General features: G+C 40.0%; 1 protein-coding gene across 2 annotated transcripts in view; it reads left to right on the top strand.

The window, feature by feature from the left end:
- The window catches only part of GTF2B (general transcription factor IIB), a 38935-nt gene extending 25551 nt beyond the window's left edge, over positions 1-13384 (top strand). Inside the window, exons 3-7 of one of the 2 annotated variants that reach the window (XR_007059241.1) lie at positions 1903-2036; positions 5731-5877; positions 6006-6135; positions 7230-7336; positions 8530-8601. Coding sequence is in view for 1 of the 2 variants with exons in the window: in NM_001514.6 (NP_001505.1) it covers positions 1903-2036; positions 5731-5877; positions 6006-6135; positions 8530-8811; positions 12671-12804 (827 nt within the window). In the remaining variant the exon portion in view is untranslated. Of the gene's footprint in view, positions 1-1902; positions 2037-5730; positions 5878-6005; positions 6136-7229; positions 7337-8529; positions 8812-12670 lie in introns of those variants that run through there. The other variant, NM_001514.6, reaches the window with a different exon arrangement.
- The last annotated feature ends 457 nt before the right edge of the window (positions 13385-13841 follow it).

The following is a 13841-nucleotide window of genomic DNA, read 5'->3' as shown; positions in this document are numbered from 1 at the left end:
ATTAATTTTTATATAAAAAATTAAAAAGTTAGCATAGTCTAGGTGGAATTCCTTCCGTTTTCTCTGTTCTTTGCTGTCCTCCTGATCAAATACTTAGCGGAGCACTTGGAAGCTTTTAAAGTCTTCTATGGAGATTAATTTTTGTTTGTTTGTTTGTTTTGTTTTGTTTTTTTTTTGAGATGGAGTTTCACTCTTGTTACCCTCTTGTTGCGATCTCAGTTCACCACAGCCTCCACCTCCCAGGTTCAAGCAGTTCTCCTGCCTTAGCCTCCTGAGTAGCTGGGATTACAGGCATGTGCCACCACGCCCAGCTATTTTGTATTTTTAGTAGAGACAGGGTTTCTCCATGTTGGTCAGGCTGATCTCAAATTCCCAACCAGGTGACAGCCCGCCTGGACCTCGCAAAGTGCTGGGATTACAGGCATGTGCCACCATGACCAACTAATTTTGTATTTTTAGTAGAGACGGGGTTTCTCCATCTTGGTCAGGCTGGTCTCAAACTCCTGACCTCAGGTGATCCGCCTGCCTCGGCCTCCCAAAGTGCTGGGATTACAGGCCTGAGCCACCACACCCGGCTGGAGATTAATGTTTTAAACTGATGCGTCTCCCTTATCATCCCCACAAAAAAGGAGAAACTCAGAATATTTGCTATCTTTCTAATTTTCATAGCAGTAAATAGTGAATATTGAGCACTTAGTACTACTTTTTAAGCACTTTACATGCACTGTACATGGGTATTATAATAGCTTAGTCTTTATAATCTTTAAAATATGAGGTTAAAGAGAATTTTAGAGCTGAGGTAATAAAGACATAGAAATGAAGTAATATTCCAAGGCTAAGCAGCAAAGGGCAGAGTTCACACCCCTGACTATTATATTAATTGACTGCTAGTACCGTAACTTCTAATTGCTACAGTAACTGGTTTCTGCCGTTTGTTTCTTTCTGTTTGCTGTGTATACACAAAGATGAAATGGTCTGGTTCCTTCCTACTTTCAGCTTCATCACACTTCACTGAAAAAGGTCATGTTTTACAATTGGAGTGTAGAACAAACTCTGATGTGCGTTTCAGTTCTAGCTATGTGATCTTAGGCTAGTTAATCTTATTTGTAAAGTGGCAATAAAATTGGTACCTACCTTTATAAGGCTGTGAAGATTAAGTGAGAACATTTACAAAAGGGCACAGTGAGTAGTATGTGTTAAGTATTCAGTGTTAACTTTTGTCTACTCTGAAGGTATTGCCAGACATTGAGCTTTCTCACCAAAACAGTAATAATAAGGTTTACTTGTGTCTGCTTTTATTGGACATGATATATTTAGATGCTGCCTCTTTGCTTAAAGAGAAAAGTTTGCCTACCAGGCTTTCTTCTCACGGATTCTAGGCTTGAGGTTTATTCTGTATAAATTATTTGGCCAGGTATGTTTTTCATCAGATTGTTACTTTGAAACAGAAGCTTAGGCTTATTTTCTGCGAAGCATTTCCCACGCAAACTTAGTGACATTTTAATATGAAATTATTTGCATTAATACCATTCTAAAAAATGTTTTCTCTTTTTTTCCCATGCCTATTGCAAATTTTGTGCAAAATCTGGTTCTTAATCATTATTACATTGGTTTACCTTTGCATCACATATGAATAGCTGTACTTTGCTACTTTTGACTAATACTTTTTCTTCCAAGAGTTAGAATATCATAGCATAATGTTTCAAGAGGATTATTGTTAGATTGGCACAATAGTTAAAGGAATGCTTTAGGACAAATGTCTGAAATGTGATATTTAAGCTTGGTCCTAGATGTCCATGTTGAGATTTCCTGGGAATAAAATGGCTTAGTTGGGCATTGGACAGTGTAGTTAAGTAAACCCTATCTTGACAAAATGATTCAGATATGTGCTTATATTCTTAGGTGACCGGGTTATTGATGTGGGATCTGAATGGCGAACTTTCAGCAATGACAAAGCAACAAAAGATCCATCTCGAGTTGGAGATTCTCAGAATCCTCTTCTGAGTGATGGAGATTTGTCTACCATGATTGGCAAGGTAATAAGTCCATTTGGCAGGAAATACCAATTGCAGAGTGACCATAGACCTGAGAGTTTGGGAACTTTGCAAAAGTATCAGTCACTGCACCAGTGGGGAATCTTGACCTGTCTAATAAGATTTGCCAGTAATATCATTGTGAATGATGGCTAACTTGTGTGTGTATTCCATCTTAAAGTGGGGAAGACCATTAAATCAAAATTATAAAGCCTTTATATCAGGCCTTTTTTCATAAATGACATTTTCTGTACACACAAAAAATGAGTGTAGTGTGGCCTTCATGAGTTAATATTGATATGTTCTTTGAATATCAAGAATGTCTTCTCAGCTGGGCATCATGGCTCACACCTGTGATCCCAGCACTTTGGGAGGCCAAGGCAGGCGGATCACAAGGTCAGGAGTTCGGGACCAGCCTGGCAAATATGGTGAAACCCCATCTCTACTACAAAAAAAAAGGAAAATAGAAAAATTAGCCAGGCTTGGTGGCGGGCACCTGTAGTCCCAGCTTACTCGCGAGGCTGAGGCAGAAGAATTGCTTGAACCCAGGAGGCGGAGGTTGCAGTGAGCCAAGATCGCGCCACTGAACTCCAGCCTGGGCAACAGAGTGAGACTCTGTCTCAAAAAAAAAGAAAAGAATGTCTTCTCTTTTCTCTCTATACCACTTAAGATAAATGGGAGGTTAGTGTAACCTCTTTTCTGATATTAGTGAATTTATGACTTACCTAACTTTACATTCCTTATCTGTAAAATGAGAATAAGAGTACTTATAGAGTTTTTGAGGGTTTCATGAGAATGTATGTAAAGTATTTATATAACATGTATTGTATACTGTGTGCTCAGTCAGTGGTAGCTGCTATCATTGTGTAAGGCAATAGTATAGTTTTCTTGGCAGCCTGATTCTCACTCTGTTATCCGAGTTGGAAGTAATAGTGACGGTATTACTGAGGGCTAATCAAGGAAGTATACACCATTTTATAACTTCATGTATACTATTGCATAGTCTCTTTTTTTTTTTTTTCCAAAAAAGTCTTGTTTAAAATCTGTCTGGCTGGGCACAGTGGCTCATGCCTGTAATCCCAGCACTTTGGGAGGCCGAGGTGGGTGGAGATCAGGAGTTCAAGACCAGCCTGGCCAAGATGGCGAAACCCCGTCTCTACTAAAAATACAAAAAGTAGCTGGGCATGATATGATGGTGGGCACCTGTAATCCCAGCTACTCAGGAGCCTGAGGCAAATAATTGCTTGAACCCGGGAGGCGGAGGTTGCAGTGAGCTGAGATCGCGCGACTGCACTCCAGCCTGGGCAACAGAGTGACACTCTTGTCCAGGCAGGTCTTGAACTCCTGGTCTTCAGCAGTCCTCCCGCCTCAGGCACCCAAAGTGCTGGGATTACAGGCATGAGTTTACCATGCCGAACCCTGTATAGTCTGTTTTGTTTTTGAGACGTTCTAACACTGTCGCTAAGGTGGGAGTGCAGCAGTAGCTTGATCTCGTCTCACTGCAACCTCCACCTCCCAGGCTGAAGCGATCCTTCCACTTCAGCCTCCCAAGTAACTGGGACCACAGGTGTGGGCCACGACACATGGCTAATTTTTGTATTTTTTGTAGAGACAAAGTTTCGCCATGTTGCCCAGGCTTGTCCCAATTCTTGGGCTCAAGTGATCCACCCACCTCGGCCTCCCAAGGTGCTGGAATTACAGGTGTGATCCACCATCCCTGGGCAAGATAGAAATATTTTTAAGCTGCTAGATTTATCACATAATAAATTTCTATGTGTACTTGGGCATATTTCTCAACTTTCTATCTTTTCCTGTCCTGGTCCAGTTAGTCAAATGCCATACAACACTGTTTTAGTATTTAGTAGCACTAGTTTTCCCTCATTGCTCTTTTTCAGCATTTTCTTCGCTAGTCTTTTCCATTTAAAGGTTAAGTTTGTTTCATTTTTTAAAAAAATTTAGGTTTGTTCACTTGCATTTTTTGTACCTTTGGAGTTGATTAAATGATTTTCCTCTTCAGCTCTATTAATATGATGTTTTATGTTATTAGATTCTTTAATATATTTGTGGAACAGTCTCCACTTGGTTGATATTACTGCCTTTTAATACCCTGTTGGATTCTGTTTCCTGTGGGGTTTTTTGGTTTTCTTCTTTTGAGACAGGGTCTCTTTCTGTCACCCAGTCTAGAGTGAAGTGATGTAATCATAGCTAACTGCAGCCTCAAACTCCCAGGCTTAGGTAACCCTCCTGCCTCAGCCTCCTGAGTAGCTGAGACCACAGGCGTGTGCCATCACACTCGGCCTGTTTTGTTTTGTTTTGTTTGAGACAGAGTTTCGCGCTTGTCACCCAGGCTGGAGTGCAATGGCACGATCTCTGCTCACTGCAACCTCCGCCTCCCAGGTTCAAGCGATTCTCCCGCCTCAGCCTCCCAAGCAGCTGGGATTGCAGGCATGTGCCACCACGCCTGGCTAATTTTGTACTTTTAGTAGAGGTAGGGTTTCTCCGTGATCATCAGGCTGGTCTCACACTCCCGACCTCAGGTGATCCGCCTGCCTCAGCCTCCTAAAGTGCCAGGATTACAGGCATGGGCCACTGCGCCTGGCCTGTTTTTTAATATTTAATATTCTCACTGGGGTTTTGGTCAGATTCATTTGCAAATTGACACAGGGAAAATTGGCTTCTTCATAATAAATCTTGTATTCAAAAATTCATAATGCCTTTCCATTTCCTTAGGTATCTTATGTGTCCTTCAGGAGATGTTTGAAAGTTTTCTTCATGAACGTCTCACATGTTTCTCAAGTTTATTTCAAGATTTTTGTTGTTGTTTTAATTGAAAAATTTGCTTTCCTTGTCTTTTAAGTTGGTTGATTGTACTTATGAAGGGTATTGATTTCTATTTATCTTGACCTTGCTGCTTTAATGAATTATTTATAGCAGCTGTTTTTTAGTGATTTTCTTGCATATTCCAGGTGTATAAAGGTACTATCTGCAAATAGTTTATCACATCCTTTCCAATTTTGTACTTCCGGTTTTTCTCTTGCTTAATACTATTGGCTAGTTTTTCCAATCAGTGTTACAAAATGGTAGCAGTAGGAGGTACCTTTGTCTTGTGATTTTGGTGATAATGCTGGTAATGTTTCTCCATTAATCATAGTACTTTCTTTGGGCAGAGGAGAGTGGTTTTCTAATGTAAAGAAGTACTCATTTGTAGCGTCCTATGAGTTTTTATCAAAGACGAATTTTGATTTTGTTCATTTGCCTTTTTAGCGTCTTTGGAGATGATCATGATTTTTCTTCTTACATCTATTAATATAATGTTTTACATTATTTGATTCTCTAATATCTTGTGGAACAATCTCTAGTTGGTCATGATATACTACCTTTTAATATGCTGTTGGATTCTGTTTTCTAGTATTTAATATTTTTTATCATATTTCTAAGTGAAATTAGACTGTTTCTTTTTCCATTGTTTTGTCAGGTGTTTGTATCATATTTCTATTTATACACTTTAAGCTTCCTATTTTCTATGTTCTTGAACAGTTGTTAGAATTACATGTTCATTTAGTATAGATGAGCAGGATGCACAATTCAGATTTCTGGTCTATGTAGAATCAGATCTTGTAAGCTATATTTTCATAGAAATTGTCCATTTTTCATGCTTTCCAAAAAATTTTTTCATAGTTATAAAACTGTTTTATAGGGCACAGGAGCTGCAAGTTTTGACGAATTTGGCAATTCTAAGTACCAGAATCGGAGAACAATGAGCAGTTCTGATCGGGCAATGATGAATGCATTCAAAGAAATCACTACCATGGCAGACAGAATCAATCTACCTCGAAATATAGTTGTAAGTTCTTGTCTACCTCCTTTAAGCCATTCTGGCATTGACTTTGCATAATTTAATGAACACATGAAATTTTGATATTGCAGCTAATTAAATGACGTAGAGTTAAACTTAGTTTCTCTGCTTTGAAGGATCGAACAAATAATTTATTCAAGCAAGTATATGAACAGAAGAGCCTGAAGGGAAGAGCTAATGATGCTATAGCTTCTGCTTGTCTCTATATTGCCTGTAGACAAGAAGGGGTTCCTAGGACATTTAAAGGTAAGTTTTTAGCTTTGTTTTTTTGTGTTTGTTTGTTTGTTTGTTTGAGATAGGGTCTCACTTTGTCGCCCAGGCCAGAGTGCAGTGGCGCAATCTTGACTCACTGCAACCTCTGCCTCCCAGGTTCAAGCTATACTCCTGCCTCAGCCTCCTGAGTAGCTGGGATTACAGGCATGTGCCACCACACCTGGTTAACTTTTGTATTTTTAGTAGAGACAGGGTTTCGCCATGTTGGCCAGGCTGGTCTCAAACTTCTGACCTCAGGTGATCTGCCCACTTTGGCCTCCCAAAGTGCTAGAATTAACAGGCGTGAGGCACTGTGCCCATCCTAAAATAACATTTTCTACATCATATTAAAGAAACAGACCAATGTCAGGCAGCTTTGACACTTAGAAGCTAAGTCATCTTTATTGTGACTACAGTAATCCACTTGAGCATCATTTGCCAATGCCTACTTATTTCATTCCTTGACAGCAAATTCATAGCATGTTCTTTTAGGCTGTTTTCCCATGTAGACTCATTTTAGTCCACGTAAGCCCACTATGTTCTTTTCTAGTGAGATCTTTTGATGGACTGTTGCTTTGTGGGCTTTCAGAAGGCCTATAATCGTAAACCAAAGTAGGCCGTTTATACATTTGGTTTACATGGAAACAGTTTCCATTTCTAGCACTGGTCTCTGTAGATGAGGGAGTCAAGCTTTAGAAAGTATCAGTGAAGGCCAGGTATGGTGTCTCACACCTGTAATCCCAGAACTTTGGGAGGCCGAGGTGGTTGGGTCATGAGGCCAGGAGTTCAAGACCAGCCTGGCCAATATGGTGAAACCCCGTCTCTACTAAAAATACAAAAATTAGCCAGGCGTGGTGGTGCGCGCCTGTAGTCCCAGCTACTCAGGAGGCTGAGGCAGAAGAATCGCTTGAAACCGGGAGGCAGAGGTTGCAGTGAGCCGAGATCACGCCACTACACTCCAGCCTGGGCGACAGAGTGAGACTTCATCTCAAAAAAAAAAAAAAAAAAGTTATCAGTTAAGTTTTTTCTCTTGAGGTGTATTGTTTGCACTTTTACACTTCAGTTAAGAACTGGTATTTTTCATTTAGTTTGCAGTTACATGTGAATATGTGATAATTTGTTCAGTGTTGCTCACTGACTTCCACTACCAAAGCTCAGTTTAGCTGAAGACTATACTTAACCCTTTATTCATCCAGTGAGTATTTATTTTTTATGTTTTCTTACGTAAAAGTGAAGAGGTGATGGCCTTTATCATCATCTTTTTTGTTGTTTTTATAACTAAAACAACTTTTGTTAAATTTCTTCTGAAAGTGTGTGGTGGTTGCATCTGGGAATAGCAGGGTCAGATATTTTATCTCATTGAGCTACAGCCCATAATCGCAGGGATTTCATGCACACATGACATTGTGTTGCCTAAGAGGCATCCTTTAGCTTGAGTATTTTCTTTCAATTCCTTGGTAACACTGCTTACAACAGATTAATACATAAACATCAAAGAATTTTTCATTTAAAGAAATTTAGTTGTATGAATTAATCCTTAGAGCAGTTAATATTTTGAAAGATTAAGACCTAAATTTAGCCAGGCACGATGGCTCACACCGGTAATCTCAGCACTTTGTGAGGCCGAGGCAGGTAGATCACGAGGTCAGGAGTTCAAGACCAGCCTGGCCAAGATGGTGAAACCCCATCTCTACTAAAAATACAAAAAATTAGCCGGGTGTGGTGGCAGGCGCCTGTAATCCCAACTACTCGGGTGGCAGGAGAATCGCTTGAACCCAGGGGGCAGAGGTTGCAGTGAGCCAAGATGGTGTCACTGCACTCCAGTCTGGACGACAGAGTGAAATTTCATCTCAAAAAACAAAAAAACTCTAAATTGAAAGAGTGAAGAACATTAGGCCAGGCGCAGTGGCTCATGCCTGTAATCTCAGCACTTTGGGAGGCCGAGGTAGGAGGATCACCTGAGGTCAGGAGTTCTAGACAGGCCTGGCCAACATGGTGAAACCCCATCTCTACTAAAAATACAAAAGTTAGCCAGGTGTGGTGGTGCACGCCTGTAGTCCCAGCTACTCGGGAGGCTGAGGCAGGAGAATCACTTGAGCCTAGGAGGTGGAGGTTGCAGTGAGCTGAGATCATGCCACTACCCTTAGTCTGGGCGACAGAGTGAGACTTCATCTCAAAAAAAAAGGTGTGATGAACATTAAAGTTAACTGAGAAATTTGCAGTTAACTCTGTGGGAAGTATCACTGAGATGATTAGGGTTTCATCTTTAAGGTATGATTGAATGTTTTACAATTAGAATGTATATTATGTTTATAATTAGAAATGGTAGATTTTAAGATGAACTATATGGCTTAAGTGAATTGATTTATTTAATTTTTTTTCTTTTAGAAATATGTGCCGTATCACGAATTTCTAAGAAAGAAATTGGTCGGTGTTTTAAACTTATTTTGAAAGCGCTAGAAACCAGTGTGGATTTGATTACAACTGGGGACTTCATGTCCAGGTTCTGTTCCAACCTTTGTCTTCCTAAACAAGTACAGATGGCAGCTACACATATAGCCCGTAAAGCTGTGGAACTGGACTTGGTTCCTGGGAGGAGCCCCATCTCTGTGGCAGCGGCAGCTATTTACATGGCCTCACAGGCATCAGCTGAAAAGAGGACCCAAAAAGGTAGGGTTCGTCATCAGGAAGTGTGGCAGTAAACTGAAATTTGCAGCATGTGATTGTTTTTCCATTTTAAGTCTGAACCGGGTAAATAGCAAGAAACCCACATTTGACCAGGCGCGGGGGCTCACACCTATAATCTCAGCACTTTGGAAGGCCGAGGCGGGAGGATCACCTAAGGTCAGGAGTTCGAGACCAGCCTGATCAACATGGTGAAACCCCATCTCTACTAAAAATACAAAAATTAGCTGGGTGTGGTGGTGGGGCTTGTAATCCCAGCTATTCAGGAGGCTGAGGCAGGAGAATTGCTTGAACCTGGGAGGTGGAGGTTACAGCAAGCTGAGATTGTGCCATTGCACTCCAGCCTGGGCAACAGAGCAAGACTCCATCTCAAAAAAAAAAAAAAACCCACGTTTAAGACATCATTCCTCAACGTCAAAATGTTAAGAAAATATGTTTTGCTTTTTAAGCAGCTCATAAAAAAAATGTTCAGAGACATAACCCTGTGAACAAACCTAATTTTTTTCCCATTTGAATTATTTTAGTTTGTACATCTTTTATTCTTACAAGTTCTTTTTTCTCCCTGAATATATTCCTCCTGATCATTTTGAATACTCTTTTCCTTTCCAAACTTACCTTTTTAAATCTTAGGGGTCAGGGAGGCCATGCTTTGTTTCTCACTGCTTGGCATGGGATTCTACAGATAGACACACTGTAAAATACGTGTTGGCCATCAGCCTTTAACATTCTGTGAAGGTTGGTTTTTTCCCATTTTGCACAGTATTTTACAGTTTCTTAATACAAATTCTGAAATAAGTAGATGTAAGTAATTCAGCCTTCTAAAGCTATGTTTAAATTTAGTGTTGTAGGAAAACTTTCACCAGAAGTATTAAGTGAATTTCTTTTCCTTTTTTTTTTTTGTTTTTTTTTTTTTTTTTTGTTTTTGAAACAGTCTCCCTCTGTTGCGCAGGCTGGAGGTACAGTGGCACAATCTCAGCTTACTGCAACCTCCACCTCCCGGACAAGCTATTCTCATGCCTCAGCTTCCTGAGTAACTGGGACTACAGCCACGTGCCACCACGCCCAGCTAATATTTGTATTTTTAGTAGAGATGGGGTTTCACCATGTTGGGCAGGCTTGTCTCGAACTCCTGGCCTCATGTGATTCGCCTGCCTCCACCTCCCAGTGTGCTGGGATTATAGGCACAAGCCACCACACATGGCCCACTAACTCCCTTTTAAAGTTAGAAGTGACTACTCCTTTCTAAGTCTTTGAGGATTACAGAAGTTATTCATGAACAAATGCATGTAAAGAAATTCATAAACTAGGTGCGGTGACCAGCCTCCTGGCCAACATGGCAAAACCCTGTCTCTACTAAAAACACAAAAAAATTAGTCGGGTGTGGTGGCACATATCTGAATCCCATTTAGTAGGGAGGCTGAAGTAGGAGAATCACTTGAACCTAGGAGGCAGAGGTTGTAGTGAGCTGAGATCATGCCACTGCCCTCCAGCCTGGGTTGATGGAGTGAGGCTCTTTTTCAAAAAAAAGAAAAGTTGGTGGCAGGTCGCGGTGGCTCACCTGTGTAATCCCAGCACTTTGGGAGGCCAAGGTGAGTGGATTGCTTGAGGCCAGCAGTTCAAGACCAGCCTGGCCAACATGGCAAAACCCCATCTCTACTAAAAATACAAAAATCAGCCCAGCATGGTGGTGCACACCTGTAGTCCCAGCTACTCGGGAGGCTAAGAGACAAGAATCTCTTGAACTTGGGAGGCAGAGGTTGCGGTGAGCCTAGATTGCACCACTGTACTCCAGTCTGGGAGACAGGACTGTCTCAAAAAAAAAAAAAAAAAACAAAAACAGAAAGTGAATTACTGGCCTCAATAACTTTGTAATACTTTATTCACAACAGCCTTCAGCTTAGGCTATATGTTGAAAAAAGTAATAAATGATAGGAATAATTAGAGAAAGAAAGCCAATCATTAGTTATTTGAAGGAGCCATTATCCATTCCCTTTGGCCTTCACTCACGTTTTAAGGAAATTTTGAGTCTTTTAGTAAAATTGAGAAGTTGCAGCTAGGCAGTTTGTCCTTGAGGTACATTCCTAGTTGTAAAGTTTATTCTAATGAACAACATGAAAACATTAATCTTGTTGCTTTCTGCTTTTTGGCTTTATATGTAAAGTCTTCTTCAAATGTAAGGTCTTTCTCTTCCCTGCACAGCAGGCAGTTGACATTCAAATAGTTGGCATTTATTGGTATTTAGATGTAGAATAATGTAATGCAGTGTGAGATACGGAAATTTAAAATTAGCTAATTGTACAATGATGGCAGGCATTCACAGTGAAAATCACTAAAACCTCACTGATTTGAATCAACTGAAAAGGTAGTAAAATGAATTTGTATTAAAAGGTGTTTAGGCCAGGCGTGGTGGCTCATGACTGTAATCCCAGCATTTTGGGAGGCTGAGGCAGGTGGATCACCTTAGGTGAGGAGTTTGAGACCAGCCTGGGCAGCATGGTGAAACCCTGCCTCTGCTAAAAATACAAAAATTAGCTGGGCATGGTGGCAGGTGCCTCAGCTACTCAGGAGGCTGAGGCAGGAGAATTGCTTGAACCGGGGAGGCAGAGGTTGTAGTGAGCCGAGATCTTGCCATTGCACTCCAGCCTGGGTGACAGAGCAAGATTCCATCTCTAAATAAATAAATAAATGATGCTTAAAAATCCATTTTAATAAAGCATTCATAATACTTAACCAAACATTGTAGTGGCAGTCCTTTAGTATTTCTTTTAATGACTTTGAAAGGAAAAAAGGGACAGCGACTTTAAAGGGTAAAAGTGGATCTGTTAGGATTCTGTACAATGTTCGTTTGAGCTCAAAATATTTAAGTATGTGCTTGTATCAGTGAAAAACATCTCCGTATGCTATAATAAGTAGCTGTTTGATCTCTGATGTATTAAGTAGAAAAAAAGATTGTAGAACAATATTTATAGTATCACATTTTGTTTTTAATAAGGACCCCTTAACAGAAGTTAGCTAGGGGAGATTTTGCATGGGAGCTTTCAAACACAGAAATATAAAGTGAATTTCTTTACAAGAACATATTTGTGGAGTACTTTTGTGATCCTCAGAAAGATTTATAAAGAAAAAGGAGGAGTCAGTTGTAAATACAATACCCAGTATAAGATGATAACACTCCTAATACTAAGACCTGAACACTATTCATATATTTTATGTTAGTTAAACCCTTTAAAACATTGACAACCCTGTAAGGTAGTAAGTACTAGTAATCATTTTTATTGTTGCTTGTTACTGACTTTAGCTCCCACTTTTTTTTTGAGACAGTATTTGGTTAAGTATTATGAATGCTTTATTAAAATGGATTTTTAAACATCATTTATTAATTTATTTAGAGATGGAATCTTGCTCTCTCGCCAGGCTGGAGTGCAGTGGTGCGATCTCGGCTCACTGCAACCTCCTCCTCCTGGGTTCAAGCGATTCTCCTGCCTCAGCCTCCTGAGTAGCTGGGACTACAGGCGCATGCCACCACGCCTGGCTAATTTTTTGTATTTTTAGTAGAGATGGGGTTTCACCATGTTGGCCAGGATGGTCTCGATCTCCTGACCTGGTGATCCACCCGCCTCGGCCTCCCAAAGTGCTGGGATTACAGGCATGAGCCACTGCGCCCGGCCTAGCTCCCGCTTTCTACCTTTTAGTATGTATTTCTATTATCAGTTTTTAGAAATCACTTCTGGTTTTGTTTTTAAGTTTGGCACTTTATACTATCATATCTCACAAATTACAATGCAGGTAGTGGAAAGGAGGTAGGATGGAAATGATGGTTAATGTTTCGATTTTTGTCTTTTAGAAATTGGAGATATTGCTGGTGTTGCTGATGTTACAATCAGACAGTCCTATAGACTGATCTATCCTCGAGCCCCAGATCTGTTTCCTACAGACTTCAAATTTGACACCCCAGTGGACAAACTACCACAGCTATAAATTGAGGCAGCTAACGTCAAATTCTTGAATACAAAACTTTGCCTGTTGTACATAGCCTATACAAAATGCTGGGTTGAGCCTTTCATGAGGAAAAACAAAAGACATGGTACGCATTCCAGGGCTGAATACTATTGCTTGGCATTCTGTATGTATATACTAGTGAAACATATTTAATGATTTAAATTTCTTATCAAATTTCTTTTGTAGCAATCTAGGAAACTGTATTTTGGAAGATATTTGAAATTATGTAATTCTTGAATAAAACATTTTTCAAAACTCAAGTTTTTGTTATATGTTACATGTAACTTATGATACATAATTACAAATAATGCAAATCATTGCAGCTAATAAAGCTGATAGACTTTATTTCCATTACTTATATATACATAGTTTTTTATTTTAATAAATTTATGGAAAGAGCAAAAGCTTTTGAGAACCATTGTTAACATCAACATCATAGTTTCCAGTTTGAAAGGATGTGTATGTGAGATTTATTATGTATATTATTAAACAAGAAGTGATGAGCTTGGGCCTTGAAAGGCACCAGCTTGAGAGACATTAAAATGTTCTAAGTATGTGATTTTCTTAGTGAGCTTATTGAGCAGAGAATATGATGCTGATAAAAGCAGCAGTAGAACAACAGATTTTAATTTTTGGGTGTTAAAATCTTATGTTATAGAATCTGCATATCCCTGGTTCTTTTTTCTTCTTTGTTAGGCTTACTGGTGTACTCATAGACTAAAGAGCATTTCATTTATTTATTATCTATTATTTTTTGATACAGAGTCTTGCTCTGTTGCCTAGGCTGGAGTCCAGTGGCACAATCTCAGCTCACTGCAACCTCTGCCCCACCTCCAGGGTTCAAGCGATTCTCCTGCCTCAGCCTCCTGAGTAGCTAGGATTACAGGTGCCCACTACTAGGCCCAGCTAATTTTTTTTGTATTTTTAGTAGAGACAGGGTTTCGCCATGTTGGCCAGGCTGGTTTAGAACTCCTGACCTCAAGTGATCCACCTGCCTTGGCCTCCCACAGTGCTGG

The sequence above is a fragment of the Homo sapiens genome, chromosome 1, assembly GCF_000001405.40.
Source record: "Homo sapiens chromosome 1, GRCh38.p14 Primary Assembly".
Classification (NCBI taxonomy): domain Eukaryota; kingdom Metazoa; phylum Chordata; class Mammalia; order Primates; family Hominidae; genus Homo; species Homo sapiens.
The sequence above is the reverse complement of the archived record's forward strand: the minus strand, read 5'-3'. Positions and strand labels throughout refer to the sequence as shown.